Source organism: Homo sapiens, chromosome 1 (assembly GCF_000001405.40).
Source record: "Homo sapiens chromosome 1, GRCh38.p14 Primary Assembly".
NCBI classification, from domain to species: Eukaryota; Metazoa; Chordata; class Mammalia; order Primates; family Hominidae; genus Homo; species Homo sapiens.
This window is the reverse complement of record NC_000001.11, coordinates 99,978,143-100,000,978: the sequence shown is the minus strand read 5'-3', so window position 1 is coordinate 100,000,978 and position 22,836 is coordinate 99,978,143. Positions and strand designations below refer to the sequence as shown.

At 36.7% G+C, this 22,836-nt stretch overlaps 1 protein-coding gene, 1 long non-coding RNA gene and 2 pseudogenes across 22 annotated transcripts in view; 2 read left to right on the top strand and 2 right to left on the bottom strand.

The window, feature by feature from the left end:
• Nucleotides 1-22,836, top strand: part of LOC124904230 (uncharacterized) — a 124,812-nt gene that overhangs the window by 37,030 nt on the left and 64,946 nt on the right. The gene's annotated exons all lie outside the window — the stretch shown is intronic.
• SLC35A3 (solute carrier family 35 member A3) overlaps nt 1-22,836 on the bottom strand; it is a 65,639-nt gene that overhangs the window by 34,656 nt on the left and 8,147 nt on the right. For all 13 annotated transcript variants that reach the window (NM_001438725.1, NM_012243.3, NM_001438728.1 and 10 more), the window contains 2 exons: nt 7,238-7,442; nt 1,564-1,718 (listed from right to left, as the gene is read on the bottom strand). In NM_001438725.1, the coding sequence (NP_001425654.1) occupies nt 1,564-1,718; nt 7,238-7,424 (342 nt within the window). In that variant the 5' untranslated portion in view covers nt 7,425-7,442. The remainder of the gene's footprint in view (nt 1-1,563; nt 1,719-7,237; nt 7,443-22,836) is intronic.
• RNU6-1318P (RNA, U6 small nuclear 1318, pseudogene) lies at nt 240-342 on the top strand (annotated as a pseudogene).
• Nucleotides 21,934-22,040, bottom strand: RNU6-750P (RNA, U6 small nuclear 750, pseudogene; annotated as a pseudogene).

The following is a 22,836-nucleotide window of genomic DNA, read 5'->3' as shown; positions in this document are numbered from 1 at the left end:
ATTAGAAAAAGGACATCCTCTTCGATAAATGACGCTGAGAAAATTGGATATGAATATGAAGAAAAATGACACTAGATCCCATCTCTCACCATATAAAAAAAAAACCCAAAATGGATTAAAGATGTAAACATAAGACTCAAAACTATAAAACTACTACTAGAAGAAAATAGAGGAGAAATGTTTCAGGACATTGGTCAGGGCAGATTTTATGGCTGTTATTTCAAAAGCACAGGCAGTGCTTGCTTCAGCAGCAAACATACTAAAATTGGAATTACACAGAGAAGATTAGCATGGCCCCTGCATAAGGATGACAAACAAATTCATGAAGTGTTCCATATTTTAAAAGATATACAAATAAATACATAAGAAAAAAAGCACAGGCAATGAAAACAAAAATAGAATAATGGAACTATATTAAACTAAAAAGCTTCTGCAAAGCAAAGAAAAAAATACAGACACAATCTGTAGAATGGGAGAAAATATTTGCACTAATCATGTGACAAGAAACTAATATCCATAATATATAAAGAACTCCAGAGCGTAAGAACAAATAATCCCATTAAAAAGTGGGCAAAGGACCTCAATAAACATTTCTCAAAAGAAGACATACAAATAGCCAACAGGTATATGAAAAAATGCTCAACATCACTAGTCATCAGGGAAACGCAAATCAAGACCACAGTGACATATCATCCTGCCCCGTTAGAATAGCTATTATCAAAAAGACAAAAAATAACCAGTGCTGGTGAGTATGTGGAGAAAAAGGAGCTCTTGTACATTGTTGCTGAGAATGTAAATTAGTACAGCCTCTATGGAAAACAGTACAAAGCATTCTCAAAAAACTTAAAATAGAACTACCAGACAATCCAGCAATCCCACTACTGGGTATTTATCCAAAGGAAAGGAAATCAGTATATCAAAAGGATATCTCTAGCCCTGTATTTATTGCAGCATTGTTCACAATAGCTAAGATATGAACTCAACCTAAGTGTCCATCAATGGATAAATGCATAAAGAAATACTATTCAGATATAACAAGAATGAGATCCTGTCATTTGCAACAACATGGATGCAACTAGAGGTCATTATGTTAAGTGAAACAACCCAGGCACACACAGAAAGACAAATATCGTATTTTCACTCACATGTGGAAGCTAAAAAAAAAAAGGGAGCGGGGGGATCTCATGGAGGTAGAGAGCAGAATGATAGCTACCAGAGGATGGGAAAGATACAAGGGCAGGGGGAGGAATAAAGAAAGATTGGTTAATGGGTACAAAAATTGAGTTAGAGAGAAGGAATAAGTTCTAGTGTTAGCATAGTAAGGTGACTATGGTTAACAATAATTTACTCAAAATTTCAAAATAACTAGAAGAGAAGATCTGAAATGTCCCCAACACAAAGAAATGATAAATGTTTGTGGAGATGAATATCCTAAATACCCTGATTTGATCATTACACATTGGATGCATGTATCAAAATACCACATGTACCCCATAAATATATACAATTATTATGTATAAGAAAAAAGTTTTTTTAAAAAAGAAAGAAATGTATTTTAAGTACCTGATAAGTAGCTGCATCTAGATTTGATAGTGCCACATACAGTAAATTATTCTGAAGAGTATAGATCCCTGATGGAATAGCAAGTTTAAGTGTTTCCATAGGTTTATTAAGAATTTCATCATGTAGTACTCGATTCAGTGCTCTTAGACTACATTCTAGAAAATAATATGAGAAAAATCAGTAATTAAGTAACTCTGAATAAGTTACATATCTGCTCTCAAGATCTCAATTTTCTAACCTATAGAAAAACAAAATTGAGCTACATGTCAAGATACTTTTAGGACTAAAATATATCTTTATGATGCTGATTTTTAAAATGTTAAATATTATAATGTATTAAGAAATCATATTCTTTTATTCTGATATATAATCAAATGTATCTTATGTATATCTACATATATGTATATATACAAACACATACAAACACATATTTATGACAGCCAAAATCTCAAAGTTTTAATTTGTTAACCAAGTATTCTTAGTTTATTATAGCAATGTTATAAAAACTTGTATTTTGTGCATTTTGTTTATCATCAGCCATTCATGCCAATTAGTAATTGTGAAGACTTTAATCATTAAAAGAAGGTAAATCAGTTAGGGAATGGGTTTGGTTGCAAACAACAGAAAACCCAACTAACACTAGTTCAACCCATAGGGATTTGTGTCACATGGGGTGAGTCCAGATTTAAAGCTTTTATAGAGACTCAGGGACCCAGGCGCTCTCTCTCTGTAAGCATACCTCATTTAATTATGCTTCATTTTATTACACTTTTCAAATATTGCATTTTCTTCCAAATTGAAAGTTTGTGGCAACCCTGCACCAAGCAAGTTGCAAAGGGTGCCAAAGTGTCTAGCTGTGAAAGGAAGGGAAAAGTCCCTGGGGTGGACAAAGGACTCTAAGAAAAGTGGGAAGGTGGATGCTAGAAGCAAATGAACCCACTCCTAAAAGTGACTGTCAGGCTGGGCACGGTGGCTCCTGTCTGTAATGCCAGAATCTTGGGAGGTCAAAGTGAGAGGATTACTTGAAGCCAGGAGTTGAAGACCAGCTTGATAAACATAATGAGAACCTGTCTCAAAAAAAAATTTTTTTTTAACTAGCTGGGTGTTGTGGCATGCACCTGTAGTCCCAGCTATCCAGGAGGCTGAGGCAGGAGGATCAACTGAGCCTAGGAGTTTGAAGTAGCAGCAAGCTATGATTGCATAACTGCACTTCAGCCTGAGCAAAAGAACAAGATCCCCATCTCAAAAAAAAAAAAAAAAGAAATGTGACTGTCACTGGCTTGAAAACAAACCAGATTAGCTCTGGCACAGGCTGCCAACCAGTGGTCTGGAAGAAGGCTTATTCTTCCACTTCTCCCACCCTGACTGCGACATTGAGACTGAAGAAAACTCAAAGTGGTGCCACTAATGGGTCAAGGTGCCATCAACCAGGAGAGGAAAAAAAGAGAAAGCTGGAGCCAGAGGATTTCAGAGTTATGAGGAACCAACCCCTTCTTGGTTGCATGAATCTCTCATACAGCATTATCTTTTAAAGACCTTCCAGTATCTAGGTTGGAAATCCTCTAACCACTGCAGCCCATTCTGGTGATAAACAGGCTTCTAGGTTCAGCTGGATTATCAAAGAGATAGCAGGATTCTCTCTTTCCTGTTAATACAATGCTGCTACAAATTAAGCCTGTGTCTCTTCATATTGTAAATTATTAAAATTATGTCCAAGAGAGGTATACTTAGAAAAAAAGGCATAGCAGAAAAACAAAATAACTGCATTAGAGTAGAATAACAGGCTTTAAAAATTTCTGCAATATAACCTTGAGAAAATTCCTGGATGGTAAAATAAATAAATAAATAAATATATAATATATATAATATATATATTAGATCTTAATACATGTCCAATTTTTGGAAACCAAAATGTGCCTGGTATGTGATAATATCAACTAAACACTATTCTAAGATCCATATATATATATATATATATATATATATATATATATATATATATATAAAACTATATATAAAACATATAACTGTATATATTTTGGCTTTTTAATCTTCATGCTTTTCATCTGTTGTCTACGTGATTATTGCAACAAGGTCATCAAAGTACTGCTACATCTCTAGTTCTTGTTTCAGGCAGCAAAAAAAGGAGAGGAAACAGCAGCTTAGCAGGTATCTTCTTGGTTCTCATTGAACAGAATTGTGTTGCATAACTACCCATAGCTGCAAGGAAGCCGGGAAGTCTTTTCCTTTATTTCCTCCACGTTAGAGCCAAGAAAGGGAGAAAGGGATTGAAAGTGAACTTTGAGCTGGCCAATCTTATGGTTAACAGTCATGAAAAATGGCCAAAGATCCTTTAGAGATATATACATAAACTCCTCAAAAAAATGAGAAATTCTAAGGAACCCTAGAATTAGGGTTCTAAGGAGCCTAGAATTATTCTAATTCGAAGGAACCCTAGAATTATTTACCAATAATGATACTTTAGACAATTTTTTCTCTCAATATAAAATAGGAAGACTTTGATTATGGAAAGTTTTTTGAAATAAAAAAAACTTTAAAATTGCTACCTGGTACTCACCCTCTCCTCAACCCAAAATAATAGTTGAAAAATTCTTAACTAAGATAAAAGTTACCAAAAGGTTTTTTTCTTAGTTTTACCAGAAAAGAAAACTAAAATATTACCTTAACTTTATGTTATTTTATTTTTACAGATGAGGGCCTCGCTATGTTGCCCAGGCTAGATCCCAACTCCTGAGCTTAAGCAATCCTCCTGCCTCAGCCTCCCAAGTAACTGGGACTATAGGTGTGCACCAAACCTGATTATTTTTTAATTTTTAAATTCAGTTTTTAAATAATCACCAATTCCTGGTATTAAGACTTTTTATTTTTGCCAATTTGAGGGCAGTGAAATTGTGTCCTGTGGTTTTAATCTGATTTCCTTGATTGCTAGTGAAGTTGAGCATCTTTTTATGTATTTATCTGCCATGCAGGTTTCTTCTTCTGTGAATTACCTGTTTATATCCTTTGCCCCCTTTTCTATTAAGTTTCTATGAACTCTGATTGAGTTGTAGGAGTAATTGTAATTCTGGATATTAATTATTGGTGGTTACAAGTGATATAAATATCTTCTCTTAATTTGTGACTTGCCTTCTTACTTGACTTGATTTACAGATGTTTTTCAATTCAATATACCCTAAATTATCTATTTTTTCCTTTATGTCTTATTTGTACCTTTTGTATGTTGTTTGAAATCATTCACAATAGTAAGGTCATAAAGTTTTGCTTTTTAAATGTCAATCTTTAATCCACCTGGAATCTGTTTTTCTGTATGGTGTGTCTATAGATGCTTTGGTTCACTGAAAAGTTGGTTTTACCACATTTTCACCACATCTCTCTACAATGCAACTATTTGTGTCAAAGATATCTTTGGCTCCACAATGTTAAATGCAGTGAATACTTCTGCTCATCTATACCTTAGCAGCAAAAACACTACCATCTCAGTTTGGCTATTACGTTTCCATTTATCTTTCTATTTTGCTTCTGTCTTCTTTTGCTGATTCCTTCTGTGGAATCTGATATCTAAATATTGGGAATGCAACAGAGTTCAGCCTTTGGCCTTCTCCTCTTCTAGTATACACTAGGTTATCTCATTCAATCCTCAACTTTAAAGCAAAATGTAAACTGACAAATTCTTGAGCTCCATATGCATAGACTCTACTATTTGACATCTCAATGGGAATGCCTTATAGCTGTCTGAAACTTATATGATGCAAAAAGCAGCTTTAATTTCCCCCCAAATCTATTTATATATATCATTAATTGCAGCACCCATTCACCCAATAGTTTAATCTAAAAACCTAGCAATTATTCCTCAAGCTGGATTCCTCCTTTCTTCTGACTTTCACATATTCAATCTTTTAACAAGCCATGCCAGATGTAGTTCGAAAGAAAATACACAAAAAGGGCCAGGTGTGGTGGCTCACTCCTGTAATCCCAGCACTTTGGGAGGCCGAGGTGGGCAGATCACCTGAGGTCAGGAGTTCAAGACCAGCCTGGCCAACCTGGTGAAACCTCATCTCTACTAAAAATACAAAAAGTAGCAGGGTGTGGTAGCATGCACCTGTAATCACAGCTACTCGGGAGGCTGAGGCATGAGAATTGCTTGAACCAGGGAGGTGGAGGTTACAGTGAGCCAAGATCATGCCACTGCACTCCAGCCTAGGCGACATAGTGAGACTCAGTCTCGAAAAAAAAAGAAAGAAAGAAAGAAAGAAAGAAAGAAAGAAAGAAAGAAAGAAAGAAAGAAAGAAAATACACAAAAAGCCAAAAAAAAACCCCATAAAAATTCATCATCATTAGTTATTAGAGAAACACAAGTCAAAACCACAATGAGAAACTACTTCACACCTATTAGAATGGCTATTTGAAAAAACAAAAAAACAAAATATTAAGTGCTGGTGAAGATGTGAAGAAACAGGAACCTTCATACTTTGTTGATGGAGATATAAAATGATCCAGTTGCTGTGAAAAACAGTTTGATGGTTCCTTAAAAAGTTAAACATAGAATTACCATATGACCTAGCAATTCTACTCCTAAATATATACCCAAAAGGAATGAAAACAGGGACTCGAACAGATACTTGTACATCTACTGAAGCATTACTCATTGTTCTTTCCAGCATTATTCACAATAGCCAAAAGGTGGAAACAACCCAAGTGTCCATCAACACATGGATGAATAAACAAAATGTGTTACGTCCATACAATAGAATGTTATTCAGCCATAAAAAGGAATAAAGTTCTGATGCATGTTACAACGTGAACAAATCTTGAAAACATTTTGCTAAGTGCCAGACCTAAAAGGACAAATACATGATTCTACTTATATGAAATATTTAGAATAGGCAAATTCATAGAGCCAGAAAGTGAATTAGAGGTTACTAGGGGCTGTGGGTAAGGGAGAATGGGGGTTATTACTTAACAGTTACAAAGTTGTTGTTTAAAGTGATACAAAATTTTAGATAAAATTTAGATTAAAAATTTTAGATAAAATTTAGATAAAAAATTTTAGATAAAAGTGATTTAAAAATTTACACTGTTGTACAACACTGTAAAATAATGACAATGAAGTGTACACTACAAATAGTTAAGATGGCAAATTTTATGTTATGTGTATATACTTTACCACAGGTTTAAAACATTATAATTGAAATATACCAAAAACCATTAAATAATATACTTTAAACACATAAATTGTATGGCTCATGAATTATCTCAATAGAACTATTTTTTAAAACTATATAAAATTAGTCACTGCTGGACTAATCAATAAAGCAAATAAAACAGAAGGTGTTTACATTAGTAAAAAAATTATTATGATTCTTCTAGAGTTCTAACAGTAACAGATTTATAAAATTTACTCTTACTCTCAAATTATTATAAATGCAAGAAACTATTTTATATTTACAGAATTAACCAGAAGATATGAATCATGATACAGATTAAAATGGCTTTATTACTAGACTTAAAATGTCTTAAGAAAATTTTTAAAATATTGAAATATTCTTCATACTAGGCCATTCGACAATGCAAGAGTGCAAATGTGTAGTTACCAATATATATATGCAAACTAAATAAATTGCATTGATTAAAAACAAAAAACCTAGATACCTACTGCTGTCTTTGTAGACCAATAAAATGCAGGCCATTATCTTCAAAAGTTCAGCAACAACCACTGCTGTAGAAGATAGATAACGAGGTCCTTCTTCTTTTAAAGTTCTGGAATAACGCATTGTTAGAACCAAACTGGTAGTCTGAAAGACCAAAATTCCCAGGGAAACGTATTTTAGGTTGGCGAACATTGTTTTATCTTCATTTGCCTGAAAAACAAAATAAACAGGGCAAATAAATAAGATTACAACATATGAAAACTAGTATATTTAAAAACACCGAGAGGGAGAAGGGAGAGGGCCTGCAGGTCTCTCCTCCACCTGCCACCAAAAAGAAAAAAGAAAAAAAAACAGAAACCAAGAGACTCAAGATGAAATAAGCACACTCCACCTTATTCTTTCTGCTAATTACAACCAAAAACCTTGAATTGGAAACAAAAAGCAACTACCAGAAGACTCTGAAAGGTGAAGAAAATAAGGTAAATTGGATAGAGACATCAGATCTTGACGGATGACTCAGCAGTGAGTTCCCTAGAGATTTTTTTTGCTACAGATGTAATCTACTTTGGGTGCTACAGCAGCCCAAAACCTGAAACTGCTCAAAGGCATAGAACAAAAACAACAACAAAAGCCCCAAGAAAAACATACTTTCTCTAACCAAAGGCCTGAGAAGGCAAGAGTCTTTCAGAATAAAATCTTTTCAACTGGTTACTGTGTAATCAGCAAGAAAGAACTTTACTGACCATCCTCGTCTTGAACCAATGAGAGCAGAGGTGGTGGCCCTTCCCCCTCCCACTAGGGGTTACAGCCACAGAAACTGTGGCACAGAGCCCTGCTGACCATTCCTGTCCTATAGAAGGCAAATGTTTGCAAGGAGGCAGTACTCTTCCTCCCTCCCCAGTGGCTGTCTATTAACATAGAAGATTTAAATAGGAAACAGAGTCTCATAATATGCAAAAAGTTCAGGAAACAATCCAAAGTAAGTATATTTATTATACCAACAAACAGAAAAAAGGTCTCAACTTGGATGAGTAAGGACAACCAACAGACAACAATGCAGAGATGACACAGTTGTTGCAATAGTCAGAAAAGAATTTCAAGCAAGCTATCTTAAAAATGCAGCAACAAGCAATTATGAAGACTTAAAATAATTTTAGACTCACATAGTTTAAAAAATAGTACAAGAGTTCATATGTACCCTTCACCCAGCTTCCCCCAATGAAACTAATTCAAAATCCCTATATTTTCCCTAAAGCAATTCAGTATTACTCCAGGAGACTTACTTTAAATATGAAGACATATATAGGTTAAAAAGTAAAAGGACAAAAAAAGATATATCATGAAAAAAATAACTAAAAAAATTAAAGAAACTTTAGTAATATCAGCCAAAATGGGTTACATAAGATTTATTTCTGGAATCAAAGAAGGACATTTCATCATGATAAAAGGGTCAATACATTAGAAAAATATAACCATTTTAAAACACATATGTGCCTAATAACATACCTTCAAAATACATAAAGCAAAAACTAACATAACTAAAGGGGAAAACAGGTAAATGCAGTCATAATTAAAGATTTTTACCCTACCTTTCTCAGTAATTAGTAAAATAACAACAAAAAAGAAAACCCAGTAAGAATATAGAAAATCTGAACACTATCAACCACCATTACCATGGTAGACAAAAAAATGATCTACCTGGCTGGGTGCAGTGGCTCATGCCTGTAATCCCAGCACTTTGGGAGGCTGAGGCAGGTAGATCATGAGGTCAAGAGATTGAGACCAGCCCGGCCAACATGGTGAAACCTCGTCTCTACTAAAAATACAAAAATTAGCTGGGTGTGGTGGCACGCACCTGTAGTCCCATCTGCTCGTGAGGCTGAGGCAGGAGAATAGCTTGAACTCGGGAGGTGAAGGTTGCAGTGAGCCGAGATCATGCCACTGCACTCTAGCCTGGCGGCAGAGCAAGACTACGTCTCCAAAAAAAGATCTATCAGATCTTACTTGAATTCAAGGATTCAAGGAAGGACTTAATGCAGTGTCTAATACCTGACTGCTTTCCTAGTGATGATCACATCCTTTGTCATAGATTTAACTGAAGATGCAATTCAATTCTGAACAAAATCGCTGTAGGCTTTTTTGGTAAACAAACAAACAAAAACCAAGCAAGCTTATTTTAAAATCATATGGAAATACAAAGGACCTAGACCATCAAAACGATTTTGAAAAAGAAAAACAAAATTGAAAGGCTTAAGCTACCAAACTTCCAGACTTACTATAAAACTACAGTAATCAAAACTGGTGGCTGGGCGCGGTGGCTCACGCCTGTAATCCCAGCACTTTGGGAGGCCAAGGCAGGCAGATCACGAGGTCAGGAGTTCAAGACCAGCCTGGCCAACATAGTGAAAGCCCGTCTCTACTAAAAATACAAAAAATTAGCCGGGCATGGTGGCGGGCACCTGTAATCCCAGCTACTCAGGAAGCTGAGGCAGGAGAATTGATTGAACCCAGAGGCGAAGGTTGCAGTGAGCTGAGATTGCGCCACTGCACTCCAGCCTGGACGACAGAGCGAGACATCATCTCAAAACAAAAAAACAAAACCTGGTATTGGCATGAGGACAGAAGCATAGATCAATGGAACAGAATATAGTCCAGATTTAGATCCATATGTCTTATGAGCTTAGGCTGCTGTAACAAAGTATCATAGACTGGGTGGCTTATAAACACAGCAATTTATTTCTCACAGTTCTGCAGGCTGGAAGTCCAAGATGAGAGTGCTGGCATCGTTGGGTTCTAGTGAGGCCCTTCTTCTGAGTTCACAGATGTCTGTCTTCTCATTGTATCCTCACATGGCAGAAAACAGAGAGTTCTCTGGGGTCTCTTTTTATAAAGGCACTAATCTCATTCATGAGGGCTGCACTTTCATGACCTAATTACCTCCCAAAGGCCCTACTTCTTAATACCATCATATTGAGAGTTAGGATTTCAACATGTGAATTTGGGGAGGCAGGGGACAGAGAGGAGAAGAGCACAAATATTCAGTCTATTAAACCATATATAAATATTGTCAAACAATATTTGACAAAGGTACAGAAAAAAGGGGACAGTCTTTTCAACAAATAGTTCTGGACTGGAATAATGAGATCTATGTATTTTTATTTATTTATTTATTTTTTGAGACGGAGTCTCGCTGTCACCAGGCTGGAGTGCAGTGGTATGATCTCAGCTCACTGCAACCTCTGACACCCTTGTTCAAGCAATTCTCCTGCCTCAGCCTCCCGAGTAGCTGGAATTACAAGCACACGCCACCACACCCAGCTAATTTTTGTATTTTTAGTAGAGACGGGGTTTCACCATGTTGGCCAGGATGGTCTCGATCTCCTGACCTCATGATCCACCCACCTTGGTCTCCCAAAGTTCTGGGATTACAGGCTTCAGCCACCGTGCCCCGCCAGATATACGTATTTTTTAAAAAATAACCCTCTACCCCTAACTTTCTCACACCAAATATTAACTAGAAATGGATCATATAGCCATTACAAAAGCTGAAACTATAAATATTCAATAATAACAAGGCATAGGAAAAAAACTGTAATCATGTAGAGATAGGCCAAGAGTTCTTAGGATACAAAAAGCACAAACCATAAATGAAAAAAATGGATAAACTGGACACATTAAAATTAAAAATCGGGCCAGGTGCAGTGGCTCACACCTGTAATCCCAGCACTTTGAGAGGCTGGGGCAGGAGGATCATTTGAGCCCAGAAGTTCAAGACCAGCTTGGACAACAAAGTGAGACCTCAGTTCTACAAAAAAATAGCTAGGCATGGTGGCATGCACCTGTGGTCCCAGCATTCAAGAGGCTGAGGCAGGAGGATCAATTGAGCCCAGAAGGTCAAGGCTGCAGTGAGCCATGTTCATGCCACCACACTCCAGCCTGGGTGACAGAGCAAGACTCTGCCTCAATAAAATAAAACAATAATAAATTAAAGACTGCTCTTCCAAAGATACTGTAAAATAATATGAAAGGCAAACTACATTATGGGAGAAAATATTCTCAATACATGTATCTGACAATATATCCAGAATATATACAGAACTTTAATAATACAATAAATCAAAGACCGACAATCCAATTTAAAAATAGGCAAAAGATATTTTACCAGCCAGGCACGGTGGCTCATGCCTGTAATCTCAGCACTTTGGGAGGCCGAGGTGGGTGGATCACCTGAGGTCAGGAGTTCAAGAGCGGCCTGGCCAACATAATGAAATCCCATCTCTACTAAAAATACAAAAATTAGCCAGGCATGCTTGCAGGTGCCTGTAATCCCAGCTACTCAGGAGGCTGAGGCAGGAGAATTGCTTGAACCCGAGAGATGGAGGTTGCAGTGAGCCAAGACTAGGCCATTGTACTCCAGTGTGGGCAACAAGAGTAAAACTCCATCTCAAACAAAACAAAACAAAACAAAAAAACAAAGATATTTTATCAATAAAGACAAATGAGTGACTAATAGGCATAGGAAAAGGTCATTAGGGAAATACAAATTAAGACCACAATGAGATACCATTATGTACCTATTAGACTGGCTAAATTTTAAAAACTGATACAACTAAGTGTTAAAGGGGATTTAGAGCAAACAGCCCTCAACATTGCTAGTGAAAATGTAAAATGGTACGACCACTTTGAAAAAGTTTATCAATTCCTTATTAAAAGAAAACAGCACTTTGGGAGGCTGAGGCTGGAGGATCACTTGAGGCCAGGAGTTTGAGACCAGCCTGGGCAACATATTGAGATCCCGTCTCTACAAAAATAATTAGCTGGGTTTGGTGCTACATGCATGTAGTTCCAGCTACTCAGGAGGCTGAGGCAGGAGGATGGCTTGAGCCCAGGAAGTTTGAGGTTATAGTGAGCTACAATTGAACTGCTGTATTCTAGCCTGGGCAACAGAGCAAGACCCTCTCAAATAAAAAGAGTATAGGAGAGAGGAGAGAAGGGGAGGAGAGAGGAGGGGAAGGGGAGGGGAGAGGAGACCAAGGGGAGAAAGACAGGTAAGAAAGGGAAGGTAGGAAAGGATGGGAAGAAACGAGAGGAGGGGAGGAGAGGGGAGGGAAGAGGAGGGGAGGGGAGGGACAGAAGGAAGGGAAGGAAGAGAAGGAAGAAAACAATAACATAATCTTTTCATATGACCTAGCAATTCCACTCTTAGATATACCCAAGAAATTTGAAAACACATGTTCACAACAATATTTGTACATGAATATTTATAAGAGATTTATTTGTAAAATCAGAAATGAAATACTCCAAATGCCCATCAATATTTGAATAAATTATCCTATGTGGTATATCCATACAATGGAATAATGCTCAGCTATAAAAAGGAATAAAATACTGCCACACTAAAGCACCCAAAAAAAGTAAAAAACATACTGAGCAAAAAAAAATTAAACAAAACAGTATACTGTATACTTTATCTTTCCATTTATATATAAAATTCTAGAAAAGGCAAAATTAAATTATAGTGACAGATGCAAATTTATGGTTACCTACAGATAGGGGCTGGGGTTGAGGGTTGACTGCAAAGGGACAGCAAAGAATTTTTGGTAGTGGTGGAAATACTGTGTGGTAGTTATATGATTGAATTTATTTATCAGAATTCACTGAATTGTGGATTTTGTTTAAATCTACAATTCAGGGGTATAATGGTTCATTTTATTCAATGGGTACATTTTATTGTATGTAAATTAGAACTCAATAAAGTTGATTTAAAAAAATTAAAGATTGAGGACATACCAAATAATAGCATTCCTAACCAGGCTTTCTTCACAACTTTGGCTCTAGCTCTGATTTATTTGGATTAATTCTAAGGACATTCTGTTAGTCTATTCTTCACCCCACCTCTATCTTTTCCATGAGTCCAACTTCTACCTAAATTTTTTCAAATGTGAACCCTGTTTATAGTATATCTCTTTAGAGCTCTCACAGCCCAAGCTATCAAGCTACCAGGTTGCTACAACCAAGCTACCATGGTTTAGGTATGGTTGTATATATATGATCCTTAACTCCTAATTATTGTAATATATATAATATATTCAAAGAGATTCAACAATCATTATTTCATGCCTACATTAGGCTAAGTACCATAGTTACAGAGAGATCTATTCCTAAAAGCATTAAGTCTAGCTTACTAAATTCAGCAATTCCTACCCTCAACTGAATATGCTCCAAACACGAACAATGCAGCACCATGAATATAAGGATAAAATTTTTAATGGTAAAATACGTATACTCACTATTAAATATACATAGATTATAACTATTGGAAAAAACGATCTTAAGCATTTAATTTGACTTTCAGAGACAAAAATTGAATAATATATCTCTGTTACAAATAGAGGATCAAGCTTAGAGGAAAGAATACATAGACTTTGTAATCATCTATCTCAATTTTGTCCAATGTGAAATAAAATTATAGCACTTTAGAGGTATAATATGTTTTAGAAATCATCTAATATAATTTCTTCACTTTAAAATGACGAAAATAGTGAATAGAGAAGTAGATGATTTGTTCAAGGTCACTACTAGTAACTGGAGACACCAGCCTATATAGCTTATATCAGGCTCCCTGGCTCCCACTACATGCTATTGTAAAATTCCAGGACATCCTGGTGCCTTTATCTCTATATGGAAGGAGAGTAAGTTTCCAGCAACTTACATTTGGCAGAGGCATCTAATTCTCCTGGAAAATGTCAAACAATGATTTCATATCTGTTCAAGGAAGTCTTGTTTATTCTGTGCAAACAAGACCATAATGTCCCTATTATAACAGCAATGCTCTAACTTCTTTTCAAGTGAAAATTTAGGCCAGGCGTGGTGGCTCAGGCTTGTAAACCCAGCACTTTGGTAGGCCCAGGTGTGCAGATCACTTGACTCCAGGAGTGAGAGACCAGTCTGGTCAAAATGGTGAAAACTTGTCTCTACAAAAAATACAAAAATTAGCTGGGCATGGTGGCCTGTGCCTGTGGTCCCAGCTATTGGGGTCTGAGGAGGAAGTATCCCTTGAGTTTGGGAAGTCAAAGCTGCAGTGAGCCAAGATTGTGTACCACTGCACTCCAGCCTGAGTAACAAAGAGAGGCCCTGTCTCAAAAAATCAAAAAAATAAATAAATAAATAAATAAAAATTAAAGGTCAGGATATACTTTGAAAATTTTGCATTTCCATTTCCAAACATCAATATAAACATTCCCCATAATAATACAGTTATTATTAATGCTCTTTATTTATTATAATGTATGTTTTTAAAAGTTGAAAAGTAGAATATGGCCAGGCGCAGGGGCAGGCAGATCACTTGAGCCCAGGAGTTAGAGACCAGCCTATGCAATGTGGCAAAACCATGTCTCTCCTAAAAAATACAAAAATTATCTGGGCATGGTGGTGCATGCTTGTAGTCCCAGCTACTCAGGAGGCTGAAGTCAGAGGATCACTTGAGCTCGGGAGGTCGAGGCTGCAGTGAACCATGGTGGCACCACTGCACTCCAGCCCGAGCAACAGAGTGAGACCCTGTCTCAAAAAAAAAAAAAAAAAGTAGAATATATGCAAACAAATGATCATTTGTAACAGATTACCTATAAAGAATTAAAATTTAATTTACTATTCTGCCTAACAGTAGAATAAACTCAAAATGAAAATAATCAGGCATCCAAATTGATAAACAGGAAGTCAAAGTGTGGCTGTTTGCTGATAATATGATTGTATACTTAGAAAACACTAAAGACTCATCCAAAAAGCTCCTAGAACTGATAAATGAATTCAGCAAAGTTTCAGGATACAAAAGCAATGTACACAAATCTGTAGCTCTCCTATACACCAACAGTGACCAAGCTGAGAATCAAATAAAGAACTCAACCCCTTTTACAATAGCTGCAAAACAATAAAATAAAATACTTAGGAATACACCTAACCCAGGAGGTGAAGGACCTCTATAAGGAAAACTACAAAACACTGCTGAAAGAAATCATAGATGACACAAATAAATAGAAATACATCCCACACTCACGGATGCGTAGAATCAATATTGTGAAAATGACCATACTGCCAAAAGCAATCTATAAATGCAGTGCAATTCCCATCAAAATGCCAGCATCATTCTTCACAGAACTAGAAAAAACAATCCTAAAATTCATATGGAACCAAAAAAGAGCCTGCATAGCCAAAGCAAGACTAAGCAAAAAGAACAAATCTGGAGGTATCACATTACCTGACTTCAAACTATACTATAAGGCCATAGTCACTAAAACAGCATGGTACTGTTATAAAAATAGGCACATAGACCAATGGAACAGAATAGAGAACCCAGAAATAAAGCCAAATACTTACAGCCAACTGATCTTCAACAAAGCAAACAAAAACATAGAGTGGGGAAAGGACACCCTATTCAACAAACGATGCTTGGATAATTGGCCACGTTCAGAAGAATGAAACTGGATCCTCCTCTCTCACCTTACACAAAAATCAACTCAAGGTGGATCAAGGACTTAAATCTAAGACCTGAAACCATAAAAATTCTAGAAGATAATATTAGAAAAACCCTACTAGACATTGGCTTAGGCAAAGACTTAATGATCAAAAACCCAAAAGCAAATGCAACAAAAACAAATATAGATGACTAAAATGTTTCTTCACAGCAAAAGAAATAATCAGCAGAGTAAACAGACAACCCACAGAGTGGGAGAAAATATTTGCAATCTATACATCCAACAAACAACTAATATCCAGAATCTACAAGGAACTCAAGCAAATCAGCAAGAAAAAAACAAAGAATCCCATCCAAAATTGGGCTAAGGACATGAACAGACAATTCTCAAAAGAAGATATACAAATGGCCAATAAACATATGAAAAAATGCCCAATATCACTAATTATCAGGGAAATGCAAATCAAAACCACAATGTGATACCATTTTAATCCTGCAAGAACAGCCAAAATCAAAAAATAAAAATAAAAATAGATGTTGGCATGGATGTGTTGAAAAGGGAACACTTTTACACTGCTGGCTGGAATGTAAACTAGTATAACTACTATGGAAAACAATGTGGAGATTCCTTAAAGAACTAAAAGTAGAACTACCATTTGATCCAGCAATCCTGCTACTAGGTATCTAGACAGAGGAAAAGAAGTCATTATATGAAAAAGATATTTGCACACGCATGTTTATAGCAGCACAATTTGCAATTATGAAAATATGGAACCAGTCCAAATGTCTATTAATCAACAAATAAATTGTGGTATATATACAATGGAGTACTACTCAGCCATAAAAAGAAATGAAATAATGACATTCACAGCAACCCAGATGGAATTGGAGACCATTATTCTAGGTGAAGTAATTCAGGAATGAAAAACCAAACATCATTATGTTCTCACTCCTAAATGGGAGCTAAGCTATGAGGATGCAAAGGCCCCTTTAATCTACAACTCTAAGTCTATTCCTTTCCTCTTCCCTCCAGGGGAATCAATTATCCGGCTTCTAAATATTATATATAAGACACAAGTGTTTTTATGCTATTTTTAAAAATTTAATATTTCATATGATTTCTCAGGTCCCCTCTATTTCTTGTTTTTGTACTTTTTAACTGATATATCAGATCTACTTCTTTTGGGAGTACATGTGATATTTTCATACATGTATATGATGTGTAATGATTAAATGAGGGTTAATTGGGATATCCACCACCACAAACTAATCTTTATGTTGAGAACATTACAATTCTTCTAGCTATTTTGAAATGTAAAATAATTAATTAAATGTAAAATAAAATAAAAAAATAAGGCCGGGTGCGGTGGCTCATGCCTGTAATCCCAAGCACTTTGGGAGGCCAAGGCCGGCGGATCACGCAGTCAGGAGTTTGAGACCAGCCTGGCCAACATGGTGAAACCTCATCTCTGCTAAACATACAAAAATTAGCCAGGCGTGGTGGGCGCCTGTAATCCCAGCTACTCAGGGGGCTGAGGCAGGAGAATCGCTTGAACCTGGGAGGCAGAGGGTGCAGTGAGCCGAGATCGTGCCACTGCACTCCAGCCTGGGTGAGAGAGCAAGACTCCATCTCGAAAAAAAAAATTAAATAATATATTTCCCTATTGTATTATCATATACTCAAACTTATTCCTTCTATTCAACTGTTTTTTTGTTTTGTTTTGTTTTGTTTTGTTTTGAGACGGAGTCTCGCTTTGTCGCCCAGGCTGGAGTGCAGTGGCGCGATCTCGGCTCACTCCAACCTCTGCCTCCCGGTTTCAAGAGATTCTCCTGCCTCGGCCTCCTGAGTAGCTGGGATTACAGGCGCCCGCCACCACGCCCGGCTAATTTTTTGTATTTTTAGTAGAGACGGGGTTTCACCATGTTGGTCAGGTTGATATCATCTCCTCACCTTGTGATCCGCCCGCCTGGGCCTCCCAAAGTGCTGGGATTACAGGCATGAGCCACCGCGCCTGGCCCCCAACCGTATTTTTGTAGCCATTACCCAACTTCTCTTCATTCCACTCCCCTCCAGTTCTGAAACACACACACACACCCACACACACACAATTCTATTAATCTAATTTCAACTTTTTCTAAAAGTTCCACATAAATTTGTAAATTGTAAACGTTGAGTATATCTATATAGTAAAATATAATAATCAACTATTGTATAATTATTATAATGATCCATAATTATAATCTTTGGGTATGAATGTAGACATTACAATCACACTGATTTGATACAGCAATCACATTGCTAGTACTTCTATAAATCCTTTACAGTCCTGTGCACAAAAAATATTTCAGGGTTTTGTTTGTCACCCTAATCGATCTTGAACTTGCTTTCTAATCACTAATTCTCCTCTAAATTTTTGGATGTTTGATATTTATAAAGTTCAGTTTTATTATTTTTAAATCTCTTCTCACCTCTTGGGGGAAAATATACAAGAAAATTTCATTCATCTAAACTCCATTCATTTGGATTTAATGAGTTTGGATGATGGCTTGGTTAGAATTTACTTTTGCATTTTATACAAAAAATATTAGCTTATTTCATGTTCAAAGATATTTTCAGTAATTATTTAATATTCTTAAGAGAAAAAGATTTTCAAACACACTAAAATCTATAGTTAAATATATGTGATATACTAGTTACCTTCATTTTTATTAAAGCAGCTCCCAAAGATCCTTGCTTTACAAAGTTTTATCAGCCAACTACGAGTTACTTTACAGGTCTAAATATTTAAAAAATATACATTATATAATGCATATGTTTCATTAATGCACACTTACTACCACCATCCCCAAACTAATGAGATACTGATAAATTATTTATATCTTCATTAATTGCATTACAGATCTACACCAAGTTCTAAAATACTCAAAACACCATATACTAATAATTTATATTCATCTTTTCAAAAATAGAATACAGGCCGGACGCAGTGGCTCACACCTGTAATCCCAGCACTTTGGGAGGCCGAGGTGGGCGGATTGCCTGAGCTCAGGGGTTCAAAGCCTGGGCAACATGGCAAAACCCGTCTCTACTAAAAATACAAAAAATTAGCTGGACATGGTGGTGCGCACCTGTAATCCCAGCTACTCAGGAGGCTGAGGCACGAGAATCACTTGAACCCAAGAGGCGGAGGTTGCAGTGAGCTGAGATTGTGCCACTGCACTCCAGCCTGGGCAACACAGCAAGACTCCGTCTCAAAAAAAAAAAAAAAAAAAGAATACATCCTTGTAGGTGTAGGTAAACCCTAAAATCAGTATTACTACAGACTTATTTCCAGTGGCTCACCAACGTATAGTCTGTATACTTTCTCAGTCTGTGTATAAAGCTTATCATTCTGAGACAATATCTGTATTTTGCTGATATGTCTCCAGCCACTAAAAGTCCTAAAAAACTAAATGTTTAGTCAATGTTTTAAAACTGTACTAAAATTCATACACAGGCTGGGTGCAGTGGCTCATGTCTGTAATCCCAGCACTTTGGGAGGCTGAGGTGAGCGGATCACTTGAGGCCAGGAGTTCGAGCCAAGCCTGGTCAGCATGGCAAAACCCTGTCTCTACTAAAAATACAAAAATTAGCCAGGCATGGTGGCACACACCTGTAATCCCAGCTACTCGGGAGGCTGAGGCCACGAGAATTTCTTGAACCTGGGAGGAGGAGGTTGCAGTGAGCCGAAATCCCGCTGCTACACTCCAGCCTGGGCAACAGAGCAAGACTCTGTCTCAAAAATAAATAAATAAATAATAAAATAAAATAAAATTCATATACATTTTGAGACTACCTAGTATCTTAGATAGTCTGCAAGTCAATTTTCCTTCTATTATAAAAACAAGGGCTAAATTCCTAAGTTATGATTTTTAGAGTAAGCTATATTTACATTTTCTAAACACTATACTCCCTTAGTAACAATATCAGTCTACTAGAGGTTAATGACATAAGAGAGTATATATGAAAACACACAAGTTACAAAGTGCTATGCAAATATGTCACATTATACACTGGTCAGAGACAACTACTAGGGTAAAAAACAAACATTTTAAGGTTTTTCCAAATAAATCAACAGAAAAAAGTATATACATACAGAAATGCTGAGCTCAGTTGAAATTTTTTGTCCATTATCTTCCATGATGCCAAAACTTTAAAACTATAACCTATTATTACAGGCTAAATAATGACAAATAAAATTCATCATAACTGACAACTTTTGACACTGGTATTTGTATATATTCTTTTCTAACTACCTCAGAAGTAGATACAGTACTCAAGAAGAAGAGCAACAATATCTTGTACTTGAAATCCATAATAATCTCGTGGAAAATCCAAAAACCTTTTTCATGTAAGTGAAAGAAATAAGTAGAAAGTAATTTACGCTACAGATATAATAAACTCAATTTTTATGATAGAAACAATAGCCTCCCCTAAATTAGTTCCCTCTTAAGTGCTTAAGAAAAGCAAAATTTTGCTCAATAACATTTAACCAACTCTATAACTTACAGGCTCCTATCATGTTCTAAGTTAAACAACTTTTCATTGTTTCTCCTTTTCTTTCTTCCTCAAGGTGTCAGGTAACTATTTACTAAGAAAATATCACCTGTACGTAAGTTACAGTAGTATCCATTTTTAACTTGTTCTTTCATAGGCTGCAAAATTTCCATTCCTAGATTTAAATAAAACCAAGAGTATTCAGCTATTTCTTTACCTATACAAATATAAAACCTATTTGCATTCTAATGTTTAGATAAAAATCGTTCAGCACTCACTATTGTACTGTTTACAGAAATGCATTGATTTGGAAACAAAACGACTTAATATCTCTAAGATCTCCTTTCAATGTGTGGTGCCATGTAAAAATGAACTTACTCCTTCCCACCCTCCCATTTCCCCACACTCTCATGCAATTCTGCTCTACCTCATTCTGTTATGGTCACTTCCCACCACTTACAACAGTTAAAGATATTCTACAAAGAACAGAGACTTGTGTAAAAGCCAGGTAGGGTCTACAGGCACTAATCATTAGTAAAGATTCAAAACTAAGAAGATTGGGGATAGAAGTAAAAAAAAAATACAGTTATCACACAATTCTCCAGATGGAAATCAGCCACCAAATATTTAATTAATACATATATATATAAACACTTCAATAAAGCTGGAATATATATACATATATATAGAGAGAGAGAGACAGAGTCTTGCTCTGTTGCCCAGGCTGGAGTACAATGGTGTGATCTCGGCTCACTGCAACTTCTGCCTCCTGGGTTCAAGCGATTCTCCTGCCTCAGTGTCCCGAGTAGCTGGGATTATAGGCTTGCACCACCATGTCCGGCTAATTTTTGTATTTCTAGTAGAGACGGGGTTTCACCATGTTGGCCAGGGTGGTCTCGAACTCCTGACCTCGGGTGATCCACCCACCTCGGCCTCTCAAAGTGCTGGGATTACAGGCGTGAGCCACCGCACCCGGCCTGGAAAAATATTTTTAAAAAGAAAAGGAGGCCAGGCGCGGTGGCTCACGTCTGTAATCCCAGCACTTTGGGAAGCCAAGGTGGGCAGATCACGAGATAGAGGAGATCGAGACCATCCTGGCTAACACGGTGAAACACCGTCTCTACTAAAAATATAAAAAATTAGCCGGGCGTGGTGGCGGGCGCCTGTAGTCCCAGCTACTCCGGAGGCTGAGGCAGGAGAATGGCATGAACCCGGGAGGTGGAGCTTGCAGTGAGCCGAGATCACGCCACTGCACTCCAGCCTGAGCAACAGAGTGAGACTCTGTCTCAAATAAAAAAAAAAAAAAAAAGAAAGAAAAGGAGAATACAGATACACAAGAGAAGAATGCAATATAAAGATGAAGCAGAGAGAGATTTGATAATGCTGTCCTGTGATATTAGAGTGATGCAGGCACAAGAAAAGGAATATTGGCAGCCAACAGAAGCTGGAAGAGGAAAGGAATGGATGCTCTCCCAGAGCAACCAGATGGAGTGAGGCCTTGCTGACAATTAGATTTCAACTCAGTTATATTAATTTTGGATTTCTGGTCTCCAGAACTGTGAGAGAATAAATTGCTATTGTTTTAAGCCACAAAATTTGTGATAATTTGTTACAGCAGCCACAAGAAATTAATATGAGGATCTAAGTCTGTATTTTTTAAATGTAATGTTTCCAATTCTACATCTATTTTTTCTTCCCTAAGGGAATGCTTCATGAATTTGTGTAGCATCCTTGAGCAAGGGCCATGCTAATCTTCTCCATAACGTTCGAACTTTAGTATATGTGCTGCCAAAGGGAACACTCTATGTCTATTCCAGAAGAAAGCATTAAATATGTTTCAGAGAAAGACTGGATGAAATTAAGTTGCTATATTTTTAAAAATTAATTATTAGGAAAACTGGTTTACCGAAGAGTACATAGAACAATTCCTTGCACACAGTATGCACTCAATAAATACTTTTTAAAATATATTCTGGACTCAGTAACAACAAAGATACTAAATGAATGAGAAACTACTCTAGTAATCTTCTCATAGAAAACTGACCCATCCACTTTTTGCTCACAAAACTAAATGTTTAACCGTAACATTTCCATAGAAAAAACAAGGACTTGGCCAGTGTTACAAAGCAATTCTTCTACTACCACTTAGTTTAGAAAACATCAATTTGTTTTATTATTTTATTTCTTATTTTCTTATTTTATTTTATATTTTTTGAAACAGGGTCTCACTCTGTTCCCCAGGCTGGAGTGCAGTGGCATGCCACGGCTCACTGCTGCCTCTACCTCCTGGGCTCAAGCTATACTCCCACCTCAGCCTCCTGAGTAGCTGCAACCACAGGCATGTGCCACCACACCTAGCTAAATTTTTTAAATTTTTTTTTATCTGTAAAGATGGGGTCTCCCTGTGTTGCCCAGGCTGGTCTCAGGCTCAGGCCATCCTCCTGCCTCAGCTTCCCACAGTGCTGGGATTGCAGGTATGAGCCACCCTGCCCGGCCTCTTTGCTGTTTTAAAAAACATAGCTAGGTATGGGTAGGAGGAAAAAAGGACATAAAAGGCAAAACAGTACAGATTTTCACAATTTTCATTAGTATGTTTG